The sequence below is a fragment of the Homo sapiens genome, chromosome 5, assembly GCF_000001405.40.
Source record: "Homo sapiens chromosome 5, GRCh38.p14 Primary Assembly".
Classification (NCBI taxonomy): domain Eukaryota; kingdom Metazoa; phylum Chordata; class Mammalia; order Primates; family Hominidae; genus Homo; species Homo sapiens.
In genome coordinates this window covers 172,057,491-172,084,294 of record NC_000005.10, presented here as the reverse complement: position 1 = coordinate 172,084,294, position 26,804 = coordinate 172,057,491, and the positions used below count along the sequence as shown (strand labels likewise).

Genomic DNA, 26,804 nt, shown 5'->3' with positions numbered 1-26,804 from the left:
TTAAGTAGCTGGGATTACAGGCATGCACCACCACACCCAGCTAATTTTGTATTTTTAGTAGAGATGGGGTTCTCCATGTTGGTCAGGCTGGTCTTGAACCCCCGACCTCAGGTGATCCACCCTCCTCGGCCTCCCAAAGTGCTGGGATTACAGGTATGAGCCACTGTGCCCAGCTGAATTATTATTTTTAATATGTTTCCTTATGTAATTAAACATTTTCTAAAACTTGATTTTTTTAAGGTTGTATAGAATTCCATCATATCAATATACTTTATTTACATAGACCTATATTGATGGACATTTGCTTCCAATTTTTTACTAAATAACATTCATTTTAAATGACTGATTATTCTTTTTTTTTTTTTTTTTCTTTTTTTTGTGTTGTTGAGACGGAGTTTCGCTCTTGTAGTCCAGGCTGGAGTGCAATGGCGTCATCTCGGCCCACTGGAACCTCCACCTCCCAGGTTCAAGCGATTCTCCTGCCTCAGCCTCCTGAGTAGCTGGGAGTACAGGCGTGTGCCACCATGTCCAGCTAATTTTTGTATTTTTAGTAGAGATGGGGTTTTGCCATGTTGGCCAGGCTGGTCTCAAACTCCTGACCTCAGGTGATTCTTCTGCTTTGGCCTCCCAAAGTGCTGGAATTACAGGTGTGAGCCACCACACCCAGCTGAATATTCTTATTCAGTGGTTTTGTGCATCTATAAATATTTCTTTAAAATCAGTATCCAGAAGTGGAAACTACTATGTCAAAAAACATAAGCTTATTACCAAATTGTCCTCCAGAAATGTACCAGTTTCTACCATCAAATTTTCTACATCATGAAAATGTAGTTTCTACATCAAATTTTCTGCATTATGTTTTCTACATCAAGAAATTATAGTTTCTTTTTCATTTGTATTTTATATCTATATAGGTGATTCTAAAATTTCTTTTTATCTTTTGCTTCATGTCTGTTCATGTTCTTTGCCACTTTTTTTGGTTAGGATAATCTTCCTTTTTATTGATTTGTAAGCACTCTTTATTTATTAAGATTATTAAGGTTTTGTCTGTCAATAAATATCAAATGAAGCCTGAGTTCTAGTCATGCCTGTGCCCCAGACTTGTGTGATTTTGCTCCATGATCCAACCTTCAGTGTTCCAAGTTGCAAATATTGTGATCTCTGAAGCCAGTTTCTTACTGTGAAATATCTGTATCCTTTAACCTTTCAGGCGCCAGGAACTCCGAGAGCTTCGGCTGCTCCAGAAAGAAGAGCATCGGAACCAGACCCAGCTGAGTAACAAGCATGAGCTGCAGCTGGAGCAAATGCATAAACGTTTTGAACAGGAAATCAACGTGAGTGCGAGAAAAGATGGGACCCTGCAGGGCTTCTTGCCTCCAGGTGTTCTCTCAGTGGAAGCTACATAGTGGGAATGATTGGGTAGTGGAGAGTAATTCACAACAATTGCCCAATTCCTGGGGGCTTCCCGATCTTGTTAGGCAGTGACTTGTTAACACAGAACCCCGTGAAGGTCACAGCGATCCTGAGTCCCACAGGAGGATCTCCAGAGGGGAAATAACCTGTATTGAGCACCGTGCAACAACACATGGTCTGGTCTCCCTTTTGCAGATGAGGAAATGGAGACTCAGGCTAAGTAACTTGCCCCAGGTCACACAGCAACGGGGTAGTAGAGCTGGGATTCAAGCTTAGGTCTGATCACAAGCTCTGAGTTCTCCCCATTCCACTTCCCATGTCCCTCCCAGGTATAAAGTGACTTCGCTAAGTTTCTCAGAATTTCTGCTCCTTTCAGGCCAAGAAGAAGTTCTTTGACACGGAATTAGAGAACCTGGAGCGTCAGCAAAAGCAGCAAGTGGAGAAGATGGAGCAAGACCATGCCGTGCGCCGCCGGGAGGAGGCCAGGCGGATCCGCCTGGAGCAGGATCGGGACTACACCAGGTTCCAAGAGCAGCTCAAACTGATGAAGAAAGAGGTGAGTATGTGCTCAGTGGGGGCAGGGGCATCTCGGAGTATTAGGGGCCTTCTTGGTTGCAAGTGATCGTGGCCTCAACCTCACCTTGGCAGCAGAGGGGTACGGCTGAAGAGCTCGGGAGCAGGTGAGCCTGGATCTGTGTGCCCAAGCTGCGCCATGAGGAGCCACTTCTCCATCTTCTGAACTCTGCTTTCCTCTGTGTTGCTATGGCTCAGGGCAGGCCTCACCCTGTGGCCTCAGGCAGCTTCCTTTACATCCTCCCAGCTTAGCAACCCCTGCCGAGAAAGAGCGGGGAAGAAGGAAGGGCTGGTGGTCCGGGGGAATTTGAGATGCTGTTCCCAGAAGGGCGAGTGGGTGCTGGGTGGGTAGGCACATACAACATGCCCTCTATGCTCCACCCTCTCTGCCTCCTCCTCCTCCCCATGTTGGAAGGGGAAGGGGAGGATGGAAGGAGGTATGTGGTCCTGAGGCACATCTCTCGAGCTGCTCTGGAGAGAGGCATCTGAGTGTCAAAGAACAGCCCATGCCTCCCTCTGTGGAGGAAGGAGACAAGCAGGCTGGAAGCCCCCAGGGCAGGAACGCCAGTCCAGGCTGTTCCCAGTCTCCCAACTGGTAGCAGTGGATGAGCAGCCTCTGAGGGTGGTCCTCAGAGGACCTCAGAGCCCAGATTCCAGACTTTACCATGGTGGGCATGACATTCGGGGGCATCCCAGAGGCCTTGGGAAGCTGCCTCTGGGAGCCAGGGTTCCTGGCCAGCTGAGCAGTTGAGGCAGTCACCTTAGGCACAGATATACCTCGGAGATACTGTGGGTTTGGTTCCATACCACCGCAATAAAGCGAATACTGCAATAAAGCCAGTCAATATTCAGTAAACCATGCTGTACACAGATGTGCTGTCACCTGGGCTTTGTGGCTTCATTTTTAGAGCACAAGCAGAGTAGATTTAGCCTGATTTTTTTTTTTTTTTTTTTTTTGGAGATGGAGTCTCAGTCTGTCACCCAGGCTGGAGTGCAGTGGCACAATCTCGGCTCACTGCAACCTCTGCCTCCCGAGTTCAAGCGATTCTTCTGCCTCAGCCTCCCGAGTAGCTGGGACTACAGGCACGCACCACCACGCTTGGCTAATTTTTGTATTTTTGGTAGAGATGGGGTTTCACCATATTGGCCAGGCTGGTCTCAAACTCCTAACCTCATGATCTGCCCGCCTAGGCCTCTCAAAGTACTGAGGTTATAGGCATGAGCCACCATGCCCAGCTTAGCATGATTCTTAAGGGCCCTAGGATTTTCAAAATGGTAAATGAGCATTGGCTTCAACTTCAAGTCACCATCAGCATGAAACCCTAACAAGAGAGTCAGCCTGTCCTTTGAAGCTTTGAAGCCAGGCATTGACTTCTCTGTAGTTATGAGAGTCCTAGATGGCATTTTCTACCAACAGAAAGCTGTTTCATCTACATTGAAAATCCATTGTTTAGTGCAGCCACTTTCATCAATGATCTTAGCTAGGTCTTCAGGATTACTCACTGCAGCTTCTCCGTCAGCACTTGCTGCTGCACCTTGCACTTTCACGTTATGGAGATGGCATCTTTTCTTGAACATCATGAACCAACCTCTGCTAGCTTCCAGCCTTTCTTCCTCAGCTTCCTCACCTCTCTCAGCCTTCACAGAATTGAAGAGATTTAGGGCCTTGCCCTGGATCAGGCTTTGGCATAAGGGAGTGTTATAGCTGGTTTGATCTTCTACCCAGACCACTCAAAGTTTATCTCAGCATAGGCTGTTTTGCTTTCTCATCATTCGTGTTCATTGGAGTAGCACTTTTATCTTTCAAGAACTTTTTCTTTGCATTCACAACTTGGCTAACCGTCTGGTGTAGGAGGCCTTCCTTTTGACCCAGTAGGTTTTCTCCATGCCTTCCTCACTAAGCTTCATCATTTCTAGCTTTTGATTTAAAGTGAGAGACACGCAACTCCTGCTTTCACGTGAACACTTAGAGGCCATTGTAGGGATATTAATTGGCCTAATATCAATATCGTTGTGTCTCAGAGAATAGGGAGGCCTGAGGAGAGGGGAAGAGACAGGGGAAAGGCCAGTCTGTGGAGCAGTCAGATCACATTCAACACTTATTGATTAAGTTTGCTGTCTTATATGGGCTCGTGGCACCCTATAACAATTACAGGAGTAACATCAGAGCTCACTCATCACAGATCGTCATAATAGAGATAATAATAATGAAAAAATGTGAAATATTGCGAGAATTACCAAAATGTGAACAGACAGGAAGTGAGCACATGCTTTTGGAAAAATGACACTGATAGACTTGCTCGACACAGAGTTGCCACAAACCTTCAATTTGTAAAAATGACAGTATCTGCAAAGTGTAATAAAGTGAAGCATGAAAAAATGAGGTATACCTGCACATTTCAGAGGACCCAAAAACTCAGTCATCAAGATAAAAAAAATTTTAATGCAGCCGGGTGCCATGGCTCACACTTGTAATCCCAGCACTTTGGGAGGCCCAGGCGGGCGGATCACTTGAGGTCAGGAGTTCGAAACCAGCCTGGCCAACATGGTGAAACCCCATCTCTGCTAAAAACACAAAAAAATTAGTCAGGCATGATCACAGGTGCCTTAATCCCAGCTACTCGGGAGGCTGAGCAGGAGAACTGCTCGAACCCAGGAGACGGAGGTTGCAGTGAGCCGAGATCATGCCATTGCAGTCCAGCCTGGGCAACAAGAGCAAAACTCCATCTCAAAAATAAATAAATAAATAAATAAATAAATATATGTATATATTCTATTAATTTCCGGATCTGTTAATTTCCAGAGAAGCCAGACAAACAAACAAAAAGTCCAATATTGAACAAATAAAACAGTTGCCAACATGCTAGGGAAGCATATAGACTGGCTGACTAGAGATCTGGAGAGATCTGCTTTAGATGGGTCTGGGAAAGCCTCTCAGTGTATGACATGTAAGCTGAGTACAGAAGGATGCTGGGAGGCCTAAGAACCTTCCAGGAGGGTGGGACAGCACCTGCAGAGGTCCTGAGGTATGAGAAAGAGCTTGGAGTGTTCAAAGAGCTGGAAAACCATCCATGTAGCAGGAGCTTAGGAAGCAAAGGGGAGATTGGCACAAGGTAGAATCAGACAGGTAGGCAGAGACCACGTAGGGCAGTGGGCCACAGGCAGGAGTGTGCTATTTTAATAATCCTGTTAACATCCTGTCCTTACATAGATGTTTTAGCATTAAATGAGAAGTACATTCAGGGTTAGACCCAGTATCTGCTTGGAATAAGAGCTGGGTAGATGCCCATTCCCTCCTTGGCTCTGCGCCCTGTCACATGTGCACACCGTGTGTGTGTGTGTGTGTGTGTGTGTGTGTGTGGACTTATAAGAGTGGGAGAGAGAGGAGGCGACAGAGGAAGTTGCCTAGTTTAGGAGGGGATGGGGGAAGCCACAGATCTCCTCACCCTTTCCCAGAACTTGCCCTTAACAAAGTTGGACTTCCTCACCAGCAGGGTTCCAGGAAGGCTCTCGAGCCTGCCTCTGAACGAGGCAGAGCGTGGGATCTGGCACCTGGGGTTCCGCTCACATTCAGTTTTTTCAAATATCTTTTTCTATGGGTGTTTTTCTTCAAGAAGTTTTCATGGAAAGAAAGAGCTTAACTTCTTTGCTCTTTTGGCTTTTTTTTTTTTTTTTTTTTTTTTTTTTTTAATGATGAGGCTGGAATGCAGTGGCACAGTCACGGGTCACTGCAGCCTTGAACTCCTGGGCTCAAGTGATCCTCCTGCTCCAGCCTCCTGAGTATTTGGGACCCTGCTAATTTTTTAAAAAAATTTTTGTAGGAATAGGGGTCTCACTTACTTGCCCAGGCTGGTCTTGAATTCCTGGCCTCAAGTGATCCTCCTGCCTCGGCCTCCCAAACTGTTGGGATTATAGGCGTGAGCCATTGCACCCAGACTCTTTTGGCTTTTTGAGGACAGGGCTCACACCGTTTAGTAAGATGGTGTCCCAGTTACTGGTCTTTTGTGTAGGCAAACTTTCTTGCTTTGATTCTGCAGTTTACTTATGTAACACAGCGATGGCAGGAGGCCAGTGAGAGGCTTTGCTCCATGGCAACCCCAGATATCCCAGATGGCACTGTCTTGCCATTGCCTACTCCACACTCCTAAGAACTCCTTCTCTGATTCCAAAGGTCACCTCTGTGAGGGCTGCAAGGTGCTGGGTGAGGAAGTAGGAATTCCAAGTAGGAATGGGAGGTCTGGCCTATTGCCCTTGACATAGTGGTCAGGATGCAGCAGCAGGGGTGATGGACAGAATTAGAAGGGACGAGACCCCCCCCACCAGGTGAGCAGCCTCTGAACTACCTACAGATGCATCAGCCATTCCAGTGCTGCAACAGAGTAATTCACACGTGGATGCTGGAGAGGGAGACCATACGCATATGCAACAGGCACTTTCCTTTAACCAGCCCAGAGCAAGGAAGTGTGTACCCTGTCCATTTCCCTACGATCCAATCAGTGTGAGAGAGCATGTCATAATTTAAATTCAGGCGTGGGAAACACACACCAAAAAAAAAAAACCAATAAGATTTGAGAAGCCTCCTGGGACCCTCTTCAGTATTACAGCAATTGGTGTGGGATATTTATCATGCTAATCACTTTTCAATAAGGAAATACACATATAGGAAAAATAATTATTAGCAAGGTAGTTGAACAGGGACCTATTTATTCTTCATGTCAATTTCAAGTAATTTACTGCATCTTCCTGTGTATGTGTATATATGCATATACAATTAATGTGGATACATTCTCACAACTCTGTAAGAAGGGACTTGATGGTCTGCTACTCAGTTCCTATATACCAAGTAATCTCTAGCATCCATGAGAAACTGGCTTGACAGTTGTAACTTCTTAGATCACTGAAATCTGAAAACAAATATAACCAGTCTTGAAGGAAATCTTTCCAGAACTCTGTTTTCCTGCCTTCCCGGGCAAAGTTCAATAAACAGAATTTAGCTATTAAATAGTTTGGATCTCTGTAACACCACAGAATTGTAACCCTCGAAGGATCCCTAAAGAAATTTTAGTTGAAAGCCAGATGGCTTTTCCTGATGAGAAAATGAGGAACTCGAACGAGTTCAGTAACTTTTCTGAAGACACGTAGCTGGACTAGAATGCAGGTTTTCTGACATCCAGCAGCATGCAGTTCCCCTGCCCCTGCCTGTCAGTAGATCTCAGCGGGAGAGCAGTGCTGGTATGTGAATGTCCTCGGGGGATACTGATGGATGGAAGTCCTGTGCCCCTTTGTCAAGTGGTCCCATGTGACTCTACTTTTACTGTTCCTTTGCCTTCGCCCTCCATGGTCAGTGGTGTGACGTTTCTTCGTGTTTTTGGTGCCTTTGGCAGAAATCCTTTACTAAACTGCTGCTTCTAATTGTCTGTCCTGGAAAATCAAGAAATCATGCTTGCAACAGCACAGTTTTAAGCTCGTGAGGCCTTTAAATTGTATGATGCCTGAGATGGTGCTGTCGAAAGGCATTTTGGCAGACACCACAGCCAGATGCTGAACTAGGGTTATATAGCATCTCCAAGGCGACCCTTTGATATGGAAGCAGAAGTGGCACAAATAAGATTTAAATATTTTACTAGGACTTCTAAGACAGTGATCCTCAACCGGGGACTATTTTGTTCCGTGGGGGCCAATTGGCAATATCTGGAAACATTTTGGTTGTCACCACTGGGGAAATAAGGGAGCAGTGCTACTGGCATTGAGCAGGTAGAAGCCAGGGATGCTGCTAACTTCCTATAATGCACAGGACGCCCCCACAACTAACGCACAGGACGCCCCCACAACTAACGCACAGGACGCCCCCACAACAAATGCACAGGACAGCCCCCACAACTAACGCACAGGACGCCCCCACAACAAATGCACAGGACGCCCCCACAACAAATGCACAGGACAGCCCCCACAACTAACGCACAGGACAGCCCCCACAACTAACGCACAGGACGCCCCCACAACTAACGCACAGGACAGCCCCTACAACTAACGCACAGGACAGCCCCCACAACTAACGCACAGGACGCCCCCACAACAAATGCACAGGACGCCCCCACAACAAATGCACAGGACAGCCCCCACAACTAACGCACAGGACAGCCCCCACAACAAATGCACAGGACAGCCCCCACAACAAAGAACTCTCCACCCTCAAGGTCAGTAGTGCTGAAGTTGCAAAACCCTGATCTAAGACCATTAGGCCAAAGAACATAGGAGAAGGATTCAGATTACAAATCTAAGACCATGAAAAAAATAAATCCAAGAATTGAAAGAAGAGACAAGAATAGCTGCTGGGATTTTGGGGTCAGGTGGTAAGTGCATGTTTGACTTTATGAGAGACTGCCAGACTGTTCCAAAAAGAGCTGGATCATTTTACATCACAACGAGGTACAAGAGTTCCAGTTGCTCCAGGTCCTCACCAGCACTTGCAATTGTCAGGTTTTTTAGCCATTCTGATAGGTGTAAAGTGGTGTTTCATTGTGGTTTCTAATTCACATTTCACTAACAACTAATGATTTGAGTATCTTTTCGTGTGCTCACTTGCTACCCATATGTATTTATTTTATTTTATTTATTTATTTATCTTGAGATGGAGTTTCGCTCTTGTCGCCCAGGCTGGAGTGCAATGGCACGATCTCGGCTCACTGCAACCTCCACCACCTTCCAGGTTCAAGCGATTCTCCTGCCTCAGCCTCCCGAGTAGCTGGGACTACAGGCACCTGCCACCATGCGCAGCTAATTTTTGTATTTTTAGTAGAGATGGGGTTTCACCATGTTGGCCAGGATGGTCTTGAACTCCTGACCCCAGAAGATCCGCCCACCTCGGCCTCCCAAAGTGCTGGGATTACAGGCATGAGCCACCGCGCCTGGCACCCATATGTATTTTTTAGTGAAGTATTGGGTCAGATCTTTGGCCGTTTATTTAACTGGGTGATTTTTCTTACTACTGAATATCAACAGTTCCTTTTAGATTCTGTATGCAAGTATTTTCTCAAATATGTTGTATTTTGCCCACATTTACTTCCAGCCTGTGGCTTGTCTTTTCTCCTAACAGTGTCTTGTATAGAGCAGAAGTACTTTTTTTTTTTTTTCTTTTTTTGACAGGGTCTTGGTCTGCCTTCCAGGATGGAATGCAGTGGTACAATCATGGCTCAATATAGCCTTGAATTCCTGGGCTCCCACCTCAGCCTCCCAAGTAGCTGGGACAAAAGGCACATACCAACACACTCAGCTAATTTTTTTTTTTTTTAATGGAGTCTCACTCGGTCCCCCAGGCTGGAGTGCAGTGGTGCAATCTCAGCTTACTTGCACCCTGCAGCTCGTGGGTTCGAGCAATCCTCCTGCCTCAGCCTCCCAAGTAACTGGGATTACAGACATGCGCCACCACACTTAGCTCATTTTTGTATTTTTATTAGAGACAGGGTTTCACCATGTTGGCCAGGCTGGCCTTAAACTCCTGACCTCAAGTGATCCGCCTGCTTCGGTTTCCGAAAGTGCCATGATTACTGTTGTGAGCCAACGCACCCGGCTGCTAATTTTTTAATTAGTACTTTGTTTTTGATGAAGTCTGTTTTATCATTTTTTCTTTTAGGGATTATGCTATTAGCAGTATATCCAAGAAATCTTTGCCTAACCCAACATCACATGCTTTAGAAGTTTTACAATTTTAGGTTTTATATTTTGATATATAATCCATTTTGAGTTCATTGTTATATAAGATATAAGGTGTGGGTTAGGTTCACTATTATTATTACTGCTATAATAATAATTATTGCCTATGGATGTCTGATTATTCCAGCACCATTTGTTGAAAAGGCTATCCTTTTTCCACTGAATTGCTTTTGTACCTTTGTGAAAAGTTAGTTGACCACATATACTTGTATGTGGTATTTCTGGATTCTCTGCTGTTTCACCGATCTATTTGTCTGTCCTTCACCAATACTACAGTGTCTTGACGATTGTAGCTTTATAAAAGCCGTGAAATCAGGTAGTGTGAGTCTTCCAACTTTGTCCTTGTTTTTTAAAGTTGTTTGGCCATTCTAGTTCTTTTGCCTTTCTATATAAACCTTAGAATCATCCTACTGATTTCTGTGAAATACCTGCTGAGTTTTTGATTGGGATTGAGTTGAATTCATAGATCAGTGTGGAGAGATAGGACATCTGAACAATATTGAGCATAACATATCTCTCCATTTACTTAGGTCTTCTTTGTTACATTTCCTTAGTGTTTTTAATTTGAGCATACAGATTCACTATATATTTTATATTTATATTCGAATTATTATTATTATTATTATTATTTGAGACAGAGTCTTGCTCTGTCACCTAGACTGGAGTGTAGTGGCGTGATCTTGGCTCACTACAACCTCCGCCTCCCAGGTTCAAGCGTTTCTCTTGCCTCAGCCTCCCAGGTAGCTGGGATTACAGGTGTGTGCCACCACGCCTGACTAATTTTTTTTTTTTTTTTTTTTTTGCTATTTTTAGTAGAGATGGGGTTTCACCATGTTGGCCAAGCTGGTCTGGAACTTCTGACCTCAAATTATCCACCCAACTCAGCCTCCCAAAGTGCTAGGATTATAGGCATGAGCCACTGCTCCCGGCCTTGAATTATATTTATTTCATGTTTTTGGTGCTGTTATGCAACATACTTTTTAAAAAAAATCAATTTCTGCCAGATGCAGTGGCTTACGCCTATAATCCTAGCAACTAAAGAGACTGAGATGGGAGGATCACTTGAGGCCAGGAGTTTGAGACCAGCCTGGGCAACATACTGAAACCCTGTCTCTAAAACAAACAAAAAAAAAATTAAAAATTAGGTTGGGTGCGGTGACTCATACCTGTAATCCCAGCACTTTGGAAGGCTGAGGCAGGCAGACCACTTGAGGTCAGGAGTTCAAGACCAGCCTGGTCAACATGGTGAAACCTCATCTCTACTAAAAATACAAAAATTAGCCAATGTGGTGGTGTGCATCTGTAATCCCAGCTACTTGGGAGGCTGAAGCAGGAGAATTGCTTGAACCCGGGAGGCAGAGGCTGCAGTGAGCCAAGATCGCACCACTACTGCACTCCAGCCTGGGTGACAGAGCAAGACTTCATCTCAAAAAATAAATAAATAAATAAATAATTAGCTGGGTGTGGTGGCATGCACCTGTAATCCCAGCTGCTTGGGAAGCTGAGGTGAGAGAGGATCACTTGAGCCCAGGAGTTCGAGGCTGCAAGTGAGCCATAATTGCACCACTGTGCTTTAGCCTGGGAACAAAGTAAAACCCAACTTGGAAAAGAAAAATTCTAATTGTTCATTGCTAGATTGTAAAAATACATTGATATTTATATATTAATCTTGTACTGCAATCTTGTTAAACTCACTTATTAGTACTCGTATCTTTCTTTGTAGATTCCTTGAGATTTTCTACATAGACATCATATCTACAAATAGAAACGGTCTTATTGCTTCCTTTTCAATCTGTATGCTTTTTATTTTTTAATTGCTTTATTGTGCTAGCCAAGGCCTCCAGTAGGATGTTGAATAGGAATAGTAGAGAGGACATCTTTGCCTTGTTCCCCATTTTAAGGGGAAGGCATTCAATATCTCATCATTAAGTATGATGCTAGCAATAGGGCTGTTTATAGCTGCCCTCATTGGATTAAGAAAGTCTCTTTATACAGACGCAGAAGCTGAGGTTAAAAAGAAAGAAAAGAGGCCAGGCGCGGTGGCTCACGCCTGTAATCCTAGCACTTTGGGAGGCCGAGGCAGGCGGATCACAAGGTCAGGAGATCGAGACCATCCTGGCTAACACAGGGTGAAACCCCATCTCTACTAAAAATACAAAAAATTAGCCAGGCGTGGCAGTGTGCGCCTGTAGTCCCAGCTACTCGGGAGGCTGAGGCAGGAGAATGGCATGAACCCGGTAGGCGGATCTTGCAGTGAGCCGAGATTGCGCCACTGCACTCCAGCCTGGGCGACAGAGCAAGACTCCATCTCAAAAAAAAAAGAAAAGAAAAGAAAAAAAATTTTTTAAGTCTCCTATTCCTAGTATGCCAATCAATTTCATTATGAATAGGTGTTGAATTTTATCAAATGGGTTTCATGTATCAATTGATATGATCATATGGTTTTTCTTCTGTTAGTCTGTTGATATAAATTATATTGCTTGATTTTAAAATATTGCATCAGCTTTGCCTTTTTGGGGTAAGAACCACTTGGTTATTGTATATTTTCCTTTTTATATATTACTGGACTCAATTTGCTGATATTTTGGTGAGGATTTTGGGGTCTGTGTTCATGAAGGATATCGATCTGTGGTTTTCTTGTGATGTCTATCTGGTTTTGTTGACAGCTGTTGTGATACCTCGGTTCTTGTCTTCTTGGCTTTAAAGAATTTAAACATGAGACACACAGCAAAGGAGATGCAGCATAGAGTGATTTATTGCAAAAGGAAAATAATATTTTGAAAGTTAGGTATAGAATAGACAGTACACCCTGAGAGAGAGAGAATTCAGAGTGGGCTGCTTGTAAGGACGAGACAGCAAAGACTGGCACTAGGGAGACTCTTTTAAAGGGAGCCTTACATGATGGTTCCTAAGTAGGTGGGAAGAGGCGTTGCCAGGAAGCATGTTCTGGGTGGTCCTCTGGGTGCACAGCTGTAGTAGCTGTACATGCTTGTTCATTTGTCACTGTCTCATTAGCATCTTACATCTCTACCCAGGGATGTGTTTTTTACTATTACAATGAACAAAGAGTCAGTCGGAGGACAGGTAAAATCAAAATGTGCTTGCTCCCTACAGGGAAAATCCCCTACTGAAGATAGCTGTGCTTGAATGAGCTCAATTACAATGAGAATGCTGAGGCTTATGGTGTTGACTGTATGGTCACCATAGTTGCTGTGTCCAGAGAACCTGGTCATTTTTTTTTTTTTTTTTTTTTTGCTACCTATCCTGCCTCAGTTTTAGTTATCTATTTCTTCTTCTTTTTTTTTTTTTTAAACTTTTCATTGTTACATGGCCTTCCAATGAAATACCTATTTCTTTTTTTTTTTTTTTTTTTTTTTTTTTTTGAGATAGAGAGCGTCTCACTCTGTCGCCCAGGCTGGAGAGCAGTGGTGCAATCTCAGCTCACTGCAACCTCTGCCTCCCAGGTTCAAGCGATTCTCCTGCTCAGCCTCCTGAGTAGCTGGGATTACAGGTGCGTGCCACCACACCCGGCTAATGTTTTTGTATTTTTAGTAGACATGGGCTCTCACCATGTTAGCCAGGCTGGTCTTAAACTTCTGATTTCAGGTGATCTGCCCGCCTCAGCCTCCCAAAGTGCTGGGATACACCACCGCCCCTGGCCTGTTTCTTCTTAAGTAAACTTTAGTAGCTTCTGTCTTTCAAGGAATTTGTAGATTTCATTTTAATACTCAAATTTATTGGCATTAAATATTTCCTGACTATCCTTTTAATGCCTGTAGCATCTATAGTGATGTTCTTTCTTTCATCCCTCATATTGGTATTTTGTATTGTCATCTTCTCATCCTCCTTCTCCTCCTCCTCTCCTCCTCCTTCCCTGTCAGTCTAATTATTAATTTTATTGACCTTATCAAAGAACCAGCTTTTGGTTTCATTGATTTTTCTCTTTTCAATGTTATTGATTTCTGCTGTTATATTAGTCTTGGGTTTAAATTGCTCTTCTTTTTATGGTTTCTTAATGTAGAAGCTCATTTAGAACATTGATTTGAGACTATTCTTTAAGCACTTAATGCTATAAATTTCACTTAATGCTATAAATGGAGCACTGTTTTAGCTTCATTCCACAAATCTTTATATGTTGTATTTTCATTTTTATTCAATACCAATTACTTTTTAATTTCCTTTGCAACTTCCTCTTTGACCCAGGTTATTTAAAAGCTTGTTGTTTAATTTTAAAATGTTTTGGGGCTCTCATATCTTTCTCTTATTGTTTTTTAGTTTGATTTCATTATGATCAAATCAAATAACATATATATATAGATATATAGATATATAGATATATATTTTTTTGAGGTGGAATTTTGCTCTTGTCGCCCAGGCTGGAGTGCAATGGCATGATCTCGGCTCACTGCAACCTCTGCCTCCCGGGTTCAAGTGATTCTCCTGCCTCAGCCCCCCAAGTAGCTGGGATTACAGGCACATGCCACCACACCCAGCTAATTTTTGTATTTTTAGTAGAGACAGGGTTTCACCATGTTGGCCAGGCTGGTCTTGAACTCTTGACCTCAGGTGATCCACATGCCTCAGCCTCCCAAAGTGCTGGGATTACAGGCATGAGCCACCACGCCCGGCCCATATATTTTTTAAGATTTCAGTTTTTAAAAATGTATTATGGCTTGTTTTATGGTCCGGGATGTGGTCTGTGTTGCTGAGTGTTCCGTGTGCACTTGAAAAGGATGTGTATTCTGCTGTTGTTGAGTGGAGTATTCTATAAATGTCAAGTAGGTCAACTTAATTGATAGTATTGTTCAGGTCTTCTCTATTCTTACTGATTTTCTGACCACTTGTTCTACTGGCTACTGAGAAAGGAATGTTAACATCTCCAACTGTAATTGTGGATTTATCTATTTCTCATTCAGTTCTGTCAGCTTTTGTTTCACATTTTTGAAATTATTTTGTTATTTTAAATAGTCACATTTTCTTTTATTTATTTATTTGTTTATTTTCTTTGCAATGGAAGTCTAACTATGTTGCCCAGAGTGCCCTCAAACTCCTGGGCTCAAGTGATCCTCCTCAGCCTCCTAGACTTTAGCTAAGACTAAAATAGTCATATTTTCTTAGTGAACTGAGTCTTCCTTTTATAATTATATAATGCCCATCATTATTCCTGATAATATTCCTTGTTCTGAAGTCTACCTTGTCTAATAAATAGCCAATCCTACTTTCTTTTGATAAGTGTTTGCATACAGTATCTTTTCCCATCCTTTCAATTTAACCTGTCTAAATCTTTATATTTAACATGGGTTTCTTGTTGACAGCATATAGTTGTGCTTTCATTTTTTTTAATCCCATCTGAAAATCTTTGTTTTTTAGTAGAGGTGTTTATGGCATTTATATTTAATTAAATTATTACCTGTTTTGTCTCCTTTGGTTTTTGTTCCTCTCTTCCCTGTTTTTCTACCTCCTTTTGAAGTATTTGAATATTTTTAGTATTATTTTTTAATTCATGAATTAGTTTATATTTTATGTGTGTGTGTGTGTTTGTGTTTAATGGTTGCTCTGGGGCATTATAATATACATACCTATCTCAGCATCTATTTAGAGTTGATATTGTAATTCTTTAAGTAAAATGTACCTTTACAACCATGTAAATTTCTTGATACTTTCTCAATTTTGTTATAATTGTCACGTTTTTGGTTTTGTTTTTTTTTTTTGAGGCAGAGTCTTGCTCTGTCGCCCAGGCTGAAGTGCAATGGTATGATCTTGGCTCACTGCAACCTCTGCCTCCTGGGTTCAAGCAGTTCTCATGCCTAGAGACAGGGTTTCACCATGTTGGCCAGGCTGGTCTTGCCTGGCCTCAAGCAATCCGCCCACCTCAGCCTCCCAAAGTGCTGGCATTACAGGTGTGAGCCACCACACCTGGCCTATCACATGTATTATATCTACATATATTAAAAACCATACCAGACAATGTGACAACTTTTGCTTTAAATGGTCATTGAGATTTTAAAGATCTTAAGGGAAAAAGTGTTGATTATGTTTATCCAGATATTTACCATTTCTGTCACTCTTTCTTTTTTACTGAAGATACAAGTTTTCTTCTCAGCTCACTTCTTTTCAACCTGAAGAACTTCCAATGTAGCCTTTCTTCCTGACCACAAAGTTTCCTACTTTCCTTCATCTGAAAATGTCTTTATTTTACTTTCATTTCTGAAGGATAGTTTCACTAGACATACCTATCTCAGCACTTTTTTTTTTTGAGACAGAGTCTCGCTCTGTCGCCCAGACTGGAGTGCAGTGGTGTGATCTCGGCTCACTGCAACCTGTGCCTCCCGGGTTCAAGCAGTTCTCTGCTTCAGCCTCCTGAGTAGCTGGGATTACAGGCGCCTGTCACCATACCCAGCTAATTTTTTTGTATTTTTAGTAGAGACAGGGTTTCACCATCTTGGCCAGGCTTGTCTTGAATTCCTGACCTCGTGATCCACCCGCCTTAGCCTCCCCAAGTGCTGGGATTACAGGCGTGAGCCACCGCGCCCGGCCCTTCTTTCAGCACTTTAAGGATGATACTCCGGTGGCTTTTGGCCTCCCTAGTGTCTGTTGGGGAATCCATGGTCACTGGAGTCATTATTTTCCTGTGTTAATATGTCACATTTCTCTTAACTACTCTCCTGAATTTTTTTAGTGTTTGGTTTTCAAGTTTTATTATGATATGTATGAGGGTGGTTTTCTTTTAATTTAACCTGTTTGGGTTTCATTGAGCTTTTGATAATTTTCCCATAAGTTCCTGAAACCTTCCTCTTTTTCATCTTTTTTTCTCTCTATCATTCATATTATATAATCTTTATTAATCAGTCTTCAAATGAATGACCCTCCTCTGTGATCACCATTCCACTATTGTTTTATTTTAATTTCAGACATTGTATTGTTTAGTTTTAAATTTTCTAATTTTTTAAAAAATAGTTTTTCTGGGCTGTGAACTTTCATCTTTCCATACTTGAAATATTAAAGGGCTTTACCTCATGGAGTACAGTTATAATAGCTGCTTTAAAGTTTCTTTCTGCCAGTCCCAACATCTGTGTCATCCCGGAGCTGACATCTATTGATTGCCTTTTTCTTTGAAAATTGGTTCTATTTCCTGATTCTTTGTATGTAGAGTAATTTTTTATTGTTTCCTTGGCATTTTATTCTATTTATTTATTTATTTATTTATTTATTTATTTATTTATTCTATTTATTTATTTAGAGACAGGGTCTTGCTCTGTTGCCCAGGATGGAGTGCAGTGGTGCAGTCACAGCTCACTGCAGCCTCAACCTCCTGGGCTAAAGTGATCCTCCCACTTCAGCCTCCTGAGTAGCTGAGACTACAGGTGCACTGGCACCACACCCAGCTAGTTTTTTGTATTAATATTTTCTGTAGAGACGGGTTTTTGCCATGTTGCCCAGGTTGGTCTCGAACTCCTGAGCTCAGGTGATCCACCCAGCCTCCCAAAGTGCTGGGATTACAGGTGTGAGCCACCGTGCCTGGCTATCCCTGACATTTCAGTGTTATGTTCTGTAGACTGTGGGTCCGTATTATAATCTTTTGAAGAATGTAGATGTTTTTTGTTTAACAGGAAACCCTGCAGACCACAGGTTCTGTCTGATCTTCTGTGGGTAGTGGTTTCAGTGTTAGTTTAGTTGGGTCTTTGCTTTTTTTGTTTTTTGCTATACTGCTTGGCACCTGTCTCACTCATACTCAGCTCAGGGGTGAATCTCTGTGTTCACACACACAGTTAGGAATTTCCCTTTTCCTGCGCTCTTCTCTTTGTTTTTGAGACGGAGTCTCGCTCTGTCCCTCAGGCTGGAAGTTCAATGGTATGATCTCGGCTCACTGCAACCTACGCCGCCTGAGTTCAAGTGATTCTCATGCCTCCTTCCCAAGGAGCTGGGATAACTGGCATGTGCCACCACACCCGGCTGATTTTTGTATTTTTAGTAGAGACAGGGTTTCACCATGTTGCCCAAGGCTGGTCTTGAACTCCTGACCTCAAGTGATCCACCTTTCTCGGCCTCCCAAAGTGCTGGGATTACAGGCGTGAGCCACTCCGCCTGGCCTTCTGTGCCCTTCTCTTTGGGATTCATCCCATACTCACTGGACTGCACAGGCCTCTTTTCCTGGTTCTCTGGCCAGAAACACAAGGTTTCTTACAGAGTTTTAGCCAGCTTTTCTACTGCACTACTGGGCAGGTCTGGAATTGGTGCAAAGCCAGGAGAGCAAAAGGGTGAAAAAAAAAATAGGAAACTTATCCCCTGTACCAGTCTTGTCTGCAAGTTTTGACTCCCCTTCGTGCCACCTGCTTTTGTTTGGTTTTCAGAGTCCTCAAGTAGCTGCTTTCATATTTGATGCAGAGTTTTCACTGTAATTATCAGGAGACACAGCCTGTCTTGGCTTACCTCACCATGCCAGAACTCCCTGGAATGCTCTCTTTTTGATCACAGGCGGGCCTTTCCCCCCATCAGATGCTCTTAAGAGCCCTCTGTCAATGCAGGTTTTGGGTTATTAGGCACCTGTGAAGGTGTGGGTTTCTTGGGAAGGAACTGTCTGAGGAACTCTAAGGTCCTTAGAGAGAAGTGTCATGGATCTCTTCTCCCTCCTGTTATAAAAGACAGAAACCCAATCCCAGCTGGCTTAAGAAGGAAAGAACACTTGCTGGCGTCTGACCAGGAGGGCAGGAGTGTTGCCAGGGATTCTTCTTCTCATCTCTGGACATTGCTTCCCTGTGCTGAGTTCATCTCAGGCAGTCCCCTCCAGGGGCTGACAAGGTGACTCACCTTGGCCTTCATCCCTCCAGTTTAACAACCCCAGAGGACAGCAGGTAGCTTTTCTTCAGTAGTTCCAGCAAACGTCCCAAAGCTCACACTGGACCAGTGAGGGTCACGTGCTTATCTCTGAATCAGTTCCTGAGGCTAAGGGCATGGAATATGCTGCTTGGCCAGCCTGGATCAGATGCTCAGCCCAGGGCCAGCGGGGGTAGGGATGTCAGTTCACCTGGACCTCAGGGGCTGACAAGGGGGATACTAAAGTATGCATTCTCGGCCAGGCGCGGTGGCACATGCCTGTAATCCCTGCACTTTGGGAGGCCCAGGCAGGCAGATCACTTGAGGTCAGGAGTTTGAGACCAGCCTGGCCAACATGGTGAAACCCCATCTCTACTAAAAATACAAAAATTAGCCAGGTGTGGTGGTGCACACTTGTAATGCCAGCTACTTGGAAGGCTTAGGCAGGAGAATTGCTTGATTCCATCTCAAAAAAAAAAAAAAAAAAAAGTGCATTTTCAGCCCGGCTAGTGTTACCCTAAAGGAAGCAAAATAACTGAAATATGACAATGGTTTGTCAGATTGACGATATTGTCTGTTGGACTAGTATTTCATGGGGGGAGAGGGATTAGGGAAAAATGTCTAAAAGAACTTCTGTAGGGACTGTAATTTTTTAAAAAGGTTGAGAAACACTTCCCTGCAGGAAACTGAGGTGCTGTTACCAGAAGAGGGGGGTGGATACCAAGCTGCTGAAAACAGCACCTGCCCACTCTGGGGGAGTTGGAAGCTGAAACCAGCGGCAGGCAGGAGTAGGCCAGTGTGGAGCACCTGCTCAGAGGGGCTTGGTGGGGAGCCGCGTAGGGTGCTGGCCGCTGCAAAGCTGAGCCTCTTCTTTGGTTTCTCTGGCCCGGGGGTTCTGCGTTGAAGATTATACTGTAGGAAGCATGGAGAGGACCCTGACCCAGCTACTCTCTGCTGTCTCTGCTGCAGGTGAAGAACGAGGTGGAGAAGCTCCCCCGACAGCAGCGGAAGGAAAGCATGAAGCAGAAGATGGAGGAGCACACGCAGAAAAAGCAGCTTCTTGTGAGTCCCTGGCCTCAGCTGGGGAGCGCAGGGGCTGGTGCGAGACCTGGAATGGTGACCAGGCCCCCTCTCTGCCTTTGCCCAATCCCTGCCCCTCAAATACCCCGTTCTGAATACCTAAATCTGGCCTCATCCTTCATGGCCCCATTATCCCCTCCTCCATGCAGCCTTCCTCGATTGCCCTGCCTCCATCTGGAAGTAAGCTCTTCCATCTCTGGATACCCCAACACTTTACATTGACCACCTCCCAAACCCTTAGCACCTCCTACCTTGTTTTAGGGTTATTTATTTGTAAGTCACATCTCCTTGACCAACCCAGTATATTCCCCTGCCCACTTGGCATCTTTTAAGTCTGAAGGACATCAAACTTGTGATGTCCCAGACCTGGTCCTGTTATGCTCTGAGGGGGTGCCATTTTCCTTCCTTTCTGGCCCATCATTCCTGACGCCTCCTTTCCCTCCAGTCCTTCGTCACCTCCAGAAGCATGGTATGTATATTTCTTATCTCCTGTCTCTGGATCTATGAACTCGTCACCATCTCCATGATCCCCCAGCCACTGTCCAGTGGCCTCCCAGCGAGGCTTCCTGTAGCTGTTTTTCCCCTGCAGTTTCTTCTCTCCTGCCTGCGTGTGATCAATGTGAATTCCAAGTCTGATAATAGCACCCTTCCCCCCACAGCCCTGTGCCTTAAAACCCTTCAGTGGCTCCCACATTGTCCCTAAGATAAGCGCCGCCTCTTTGCTGTGCCCTGGCCGGCCTCCCCAGCCTTCTTTTCATCCTTTGCCGGAATGCTCCTATTTTCCCCCACGAGGGGGTCTTTGTGTGTTCTGCTTCCTCAGCCCCCAAAGCAAAGAATTTTTGAGTCCATATTTAGAAATGCTTTGTATATTACCTGCTTCAGCATTCATAGCTTACTATGGTAGGAGCTGTTCATTTTCCCATTCGCAGAAGAGGAAACAAAGGCTGAGAGAGGTAACATTGCTGAGTTCACATTCAGGGAGGGGGTCGAGGCCTCAAGCTTGTGTTCTCTCCGGGACACCCTATGACCTGTCTGTCCCATTACAGCACGATTAGGAAGAGAACGCAGGACTGGTGAGGGCGGGGCACACAGGCCCTCATCCACGCAGAGGGACAGCAGATTGGCCTGGAGGAGGCAGTTGCATGGAGAGCTTTGAAGATGTACACATCCTTTGGCTTGGATTTTCTGCTTCTAGAAATCCTGAGGGAATCTGAAAATCCTGAAGGAGTTATCACAGAGGTTCACAAATACTTAGCTACCAGAATATGAAGTAGCGCTATTTAAAATAGATAAAACCTAGAGACACCCTGTTGTTTATTGGATAAATAACATCCATAGCATGAAATATTTTCAGCCATTCAAACACATGTGATAGAAGATCACATTATTTATTTATCTGAGACGGAGTTTCAAAACTGGGAGTTTCATCCCAGTTTTTTTTTTTTCTTTTTTGAGATGGAGTCTCACTCTGTTGCCCAGGCTGGAGTGCGGTGGCACGATCTCAGCTCACTGCAACCTCTGCCTCCTGGGTTCAAGCAATTCTCCTGCCTCAGCCTCCCAAGTAGCTGGGACTACAGGTGCCTGCCATCACGCCTAGCTAATTTTTGTATTTTTAATAGAGTTAGGGTTTCACCATGTTGGCCAGGCTGGTCTCGAACTCCTGACCTCAGGTGATCCGCCTGCCTCAGTCTCCCAACGTGCTGGGATTACAGGCATGAGCCACTGCACCTGGCCAGAAGATCACATTATAACATGGAAAGATTTCTTAAAATAATTTTTTAAAATTGTGGTAAAATAGTCATAACATAAAGTTTACCATCTTTACCATTATTAAGTGTACAGTGTAGTGGCGTTAAGCCTATTCACATTGTGCGGCCATCTCCGCCATCTATCTCCAGAACTCTCTTGTCTTGTAAAACTGAAACTCTGCACCCATCAAACCGTAATTCTCCATTTCTTCTCCTCCAACCCTTGGTAACTTTATTCTGCTTTCCCTATGAATTTGACTACTCTAGGTACCTCATGTAAGTGGAATCATAGAATATTTGTCCTTTTGTGACTGGCTTATTTCACTTAGCGTAATGTCCTCAAGGTTCATCCATGTTGTTGCATGTGTCAGAATTTCCTTCCTTTTTAAGGCTGAATAATATTCCATTGTGTGGATATAACACATGATTTATCCATTTATCTATCGACGGACACGTGGGCTGTTTTCATCCCTTGACTGTTGTGAATAATGCTGCTGTGAACTTGGGTGCACACATATCTCTTTGAGCCCTTTTTAATAATTTTTGTAACACAGCAATAACAATAGCTATAGATACACTTGTATAGACATACCTACCGCAGCTGCCAACTCTGGGGGATAAGATGAGTGGAGAGTTTTACTAATTCCGTGGTTTCTAAATTTTTTTATTTTAATTTTTTTTACCCTTTATTATGGAAAATTAAAAACACAGGAATAGGGAGGCCGAGGCGGGTGGATCACTTGAGGCCAGGAGTTGAAGACCAGCCTGGCCAACATGGTGAAACCCCGTCTCTACTAAAAATACAAAAGTTAGCCAGGTGTGGTGGTGTGCACCTGTAGTCCCAGCTACTCAGGAAGCTGAGATGGGAGAATCACTTGAACCTGGGAGGCTGAGGTTGCAGCGAGCTGAGATCACGCCATTGCACTCCAGCCTGGGTGACAGAGCGAGACTCTCTCTCAAAAAAAAAAAAAGAAAAAAGAAAAGTAACATGGGAATAGGTATAATGAACTACCATATACCTGTCACCTAATCTCAGTAATATCACCTCATGTCCACTCATTCACTCCCTGACCCCAAGGTATTCTTTTTAATCAAATCCCAGACATCATATTATTTTACCTGTCAAACATCACAGAAATAACTACCATACCATAAACACACCTAGCAAATTCAACAATAATTGCTGAACAACGTCATGTTGTCAGTATTCCAGTTTCCAATCACTCCTGTAATCCCAGCACTTTGGGAGGACGAGGCAGGCAGATCACAAGGTCAGGAGTTTGAGACCAGCCTGACCAACATGGTGAAACCCCGTCTCTACTAAAAATACAAAAATTAGTCAGGAGTGGTGGTGCTCACCTATAATCCCAGCTACTCAGGAGGCTGAGGCAGGAGAATCACTTGAACGCGGGAGGCAGAGGTTGCAGTGAGCCGAGATCATGCCACTGCACTCCAGCTCTGGTGACAGACCGAGACTGTTCTTTGATCCAGGATCCAGATGAAGCCCACATGTTGAAATTGGTTGATGCGTCTCTAAGTCTCCCTTAAATTTCTCCTCCACCAATTTCTTTTCTGTTCCTGCATTTTCTTCTCTGATCACGCGGGCTTTTCTCCCATAATAGGAAGAGACATGGAGGTGCCCAAGCCGGCTCTGGATAAAGGCCTGTCCTCCTCTCTCCCCACAGGACCGGGACTTTGTAGCCAAGCAGAAGGAGGACCTGGAGCTGGCCATGAAGAGGCTCACCACCGACAACAGGCGGGAGATCTGTGACAAGGAGCGCGAGTGCCTCATGAAGAAGCAGGAGCTCCTTCGAGGTGGGGGTGTGCAAGTGGCAGCGCTGTCTTGGCCCAGAGTCGCTGTGGACATCCCAGCCCTGGGAAGTGGGGTGGGCAACAAGAACCTCCCAGGCCTTCTCCATCCCCAAAACTAAACATCATTCTTCATGGGGAAACCTGGGGAAAAGCCCCACTTGAAGTAAGGAACGAGGTAAGGACACCAGTTGTCACCAAGACTATTTGAGATTATTCCAGAAGTCAAGAGAAGAAAAGAAAGAAACAGGCAGAGTATGTTAATAAGTGAGCTGGATTTACGGGAGGTGGAGAGAGCTTGGCGTGGACTGAGCAACCACTCTGCCAGGCCATGTGCCAGTCCATTTTTCTACCTTTATCTCATCAAATCCTCACCTAACACTGTGAGGCAGGGCCTAGGTTATCCCCATTTCTGTAGATGAGGAAACTGAGGCTTGGAGAGTTACTATTCTTTGGCCAAGTATCTTAGTTCATTCAGGCTGCTGTAACAAAATACCACTGACTGGGTGGCTTATCAACAACAGACATTCATTTCCCACACTTCTGGAGGCTGGGAAATCCACAGTCAGGGTGCCAGCACATTTGTGGTCTGGAGAGGACTTACTCTCTGCTTCATAGATGGCACCTTCTCACTGTATCCTCACATAGTGGAAGGGAGACTAGCTCTGGGGTCTCTGGGTTTTTGGGGTTTTGTGGTTTTTTGGGTTTTGGGGATTTTTGTTTATTTATTTATTTATTGAGACAGGGTCTAGCTCTGTAGCCAAGGCTGGAGTGCAGTGGCACAGTCATGGCTCATTGTGACCTCTGCCTCTGAGGCTCAAGCAGTCCTCTGACTTCAGCCTCCCAAGTAGCTGGGACTACAGGCACGTGCTACCACGCTTGGCTAATTTTTGTGTTTTTTGTGTAAATGGGGTCTTCTGTGTTGTCCAGGCTGGTCTCAAAGTCTTGGGCTCAAGTGGTCTGCCTGTCTCAGCCTCCCAAAGTGCTGGGATTAGAGGCATAAGCCAACGTGCCCAGCCTGGGGTCTCTTTTATTAATAAAAAGGCACTAATTCCATTCACGAGGGCTCCACCCTCATGACCTAATCACCTCCCAAAAAGCCCCATCTCCTAATACCCTCACCTCAGGGGTTAAGATTCCAACATACACATTTGGGGAGGGGACACAAACGTTTAGATCATAGCACTGAGGTTGCACAGTTAATGGGTGATAGAGCTGGGCCTTGGATGACAATATCAGGAAGCCGGGCCTACCCTGGTGCTGTTGGGAGTTCAAGGGATTTCTGGGCTGATTGAGGAAAAATAAATGACCACAAGATGGCAGTAGCATACCAGCAGCTTTGCTTGGGGGGCATTTTGACAAGTTGACACGCTGAGGGGGTCCCTTACAGAATGAGGCTTTCTGGAGATGATGGTGCGGGCCACCATCCAGCAGGGGAAGAGGGCAAAGGAACTCTTGGGCAAGAAGGGGACTGAGAGGGGGCTCACATGTCTAGATGATGTCGTCCAGCGTGGGGAGCTCAGACGGGGCGTCTCTGGGTCAGAGAACTGCAAAGGGCAACGGTGGCTTGGGGTCTTTATGGAGCCCTTGGGTCTTCCATCTCTATGGCTGGCAGATGTTAGGTGCAGTTTCATGGGGTATGCAAAGTAGGCAGGCTCCAAATGGCTAAATATCTGCTTGGTTTGAGCTTTTTTTTTTTTTTTTTTTTTTGAGATGGAGAGTCTCGCTGTCTCACTGTGTCATCCAGGCTGGAGTGCAGTGGCACAATCTTAGCTCACTGCAACCTCCACCTCCCAGGTTCAAGCAGTTCTTCTGCCTTAGCCTCCTTCATAGCTGGGATGATTACAGCTTTGCGCCACCATGTCCAGCTAATTTTTTATATTTTTAGGAGAGATGGGATTTCACCATGTTGGCCAGGCCGGTCTTGAACTCCTGACCTTAAGCAATCCACCTGCCTTGGCCTCCCAAAGTGCTGGGATTACAGGTGTGAGCCACTGCGCCATTCTCCTGCCTCAGCCTCCTGAGTAGCTGGGACTACAGGCGCCCGCCACCATGCCCAGCTAATTTTTTTTTTTTTGTATTTTTAGTAGAGACGGGGTCTCACCGTGTTAGCCAGGATGGTCTCAATCTCCTGACCTTGTGATCTGCCTGCGTCGGCCTCCCAAAGTGCTAGGATTACAGGCATGAGCCACCGCGCCTGGCCCTGTTTGAGCTTTTTTATGTAACTATATACATTTTTTTTGTTTTTGTTTTTTGAGACCAAGTCTTACTCTGTCACTCAGGCTGGAGTGCAGTGGCACGATATTGGCTCACTGCAGCCTCTGCCTCCCCTGTTCAAGCAATTCTCATGCCTTAGGCCCCTGAGCAGCTGTGATTACAGGTGCACACCACCACACCCAGCTGATTTTTATATTTTTAGTAGAGACTGGGTTTCGCCATTTTGCCCAGGCTGGTCTCAGGTTTCTAGGCTCAAGCGATCTGCCCACCTCAGCCTCCCAAAATGCTGGGACTACGGTGTGAGCCACTGTGCCTGGCCGTACATATTATGTTTTAAAAATAACAAGAGGATGGGTACAAATTTGAGTTTGGTGCCTGTGGACTTTTGACGGTCCAAGCCTGCTGTGAGGAAGTAAACAACACGAGGCCAATATCCCAGGGCAATTTTTGGCTCATTTATAAAACAGGCCTCATCCAGGCCTTTGATGACCAGTGCAGTTAAGCAAGATAAACCTCTTATTATTTGATGTGGATCAGCAAAACAGGGTTCTTGAGTTTTCAATATTCTGAATAGAGCACAGTTGTTTTGAGAAAAGCCCTCACTTCCTTTTCCTATCCCATGATGTTGGTAAGAACCGTCCTATTTACAGAACTGTGGTTCTGATTTTGGGGTGGAAGCCAGAATCACTATTCTGATATACCAAAAGCAGATACCATTTTGCACGGAACAGGAATGCAGTGAAATAAACAACATTCGCACTGAGCCAAGCATAATCTCCTGTCTCGAAGGGCGTGAGATTCTCCCTTTGACCCCAGGTCCCCACCCGGGTGCTGTGCACAGGGGTGGATTAATAGACCTCCAGTGTTAAGATGCCAGTATCTTCATTGTCTTCATAACGCATGCCTGGGACGTGCAGGAGACAAGGAGGATCTCACCCATTTTTCAAAGGAGGAAATAGTGACAAGAGGCCATTCTGTCTTCTTCATGGGGTCTCCATCTGAGCTCTTCCCAGGTGCCCATCAGGAAGGTAGAGATGCAGTGTGGAAACTTTGCACTTCAAAGTTTCTCCCAAGGACGTCCCCTCCCTCCATGGTATAGCTGTGTCCATCTGGCAGACATGGCAGCTGATGCCTAGAGAACCTCTCCATTCCTAATCCCACCGATGGAGCTGGGTTCCAGCCTATAGCTGCAGTTTCTGTGGCTCCTGACTTTGAATACTTCCTGCTATACCATGCTCCTGGGAGCTCTCATTCCTTAGGCTTAAAGGAAGTTTCTAGGCCTCAGCTCAGATCAGCCAACATGGTCTAATGAGGTAGAACATGTGGCAATTCCTGAGCCCAGCAGGTTGGTTATCATCTCCAGCATGAGGAGGCCAGGCAGAGGTGGGGGGCAGGGGGCCTGTCGAGTCTCTGGTTGTCAGCACCTCACCAGCTCGG

The 26,804-nt window shown here is 44.8% G+C and overlaps 1 protein-coding gene across 4 annotated transcripts in view, besides 1 other annotated feature; it reads left to right on the top strand.

Annotated features, from left to right (window-relative positions):
- STK10 (serine/threonine kinase 10) overlaps positions 1 to 26,804 on the top strand; it is a 146,146-nt gene that overhangs the window by 103,930 nt on the left and 15,412 nt on the right. For all 4 annotated transcript variants that reach the window (XM_047417629.1, XM_047417628.1, NM_005990.4 and 1 more), the window contains 4 exons: positions 1,211 to 1,334; positions 1,790 to 1,969; positions 19,483 to 19,575; positions 23,027 to 23,156. In XM_047417629.1, the coding sequence (XP_047273585.1) occupies positions 1,211 to 1,334; positions 1,790 to 1,969; positions 19,483 to 19,575; positions 23,027 to 23,156 (527 nt within the window). The remainder of the gene's footprint in view (positions 1 to 1,210; positions 1,335 to 1,789; positions 1,970 to 19,482; positions 19,576 to 23,026; positions 23,157 to 26,804) is intronic.
- Positions 17,477 to 17,526: an enhancer, noted in NCBI's record as "active region_23620". NCBI's record gives its function as "activates an Ori minimal core promoter by ATAC-STARR-seq in GM12878 lymphoblastoid cells {active_cell/tissue: GM12878}" and the evidence as "EXISTENCE:reporter gene assay evidence [ECO:0000049][PMID:35858748]".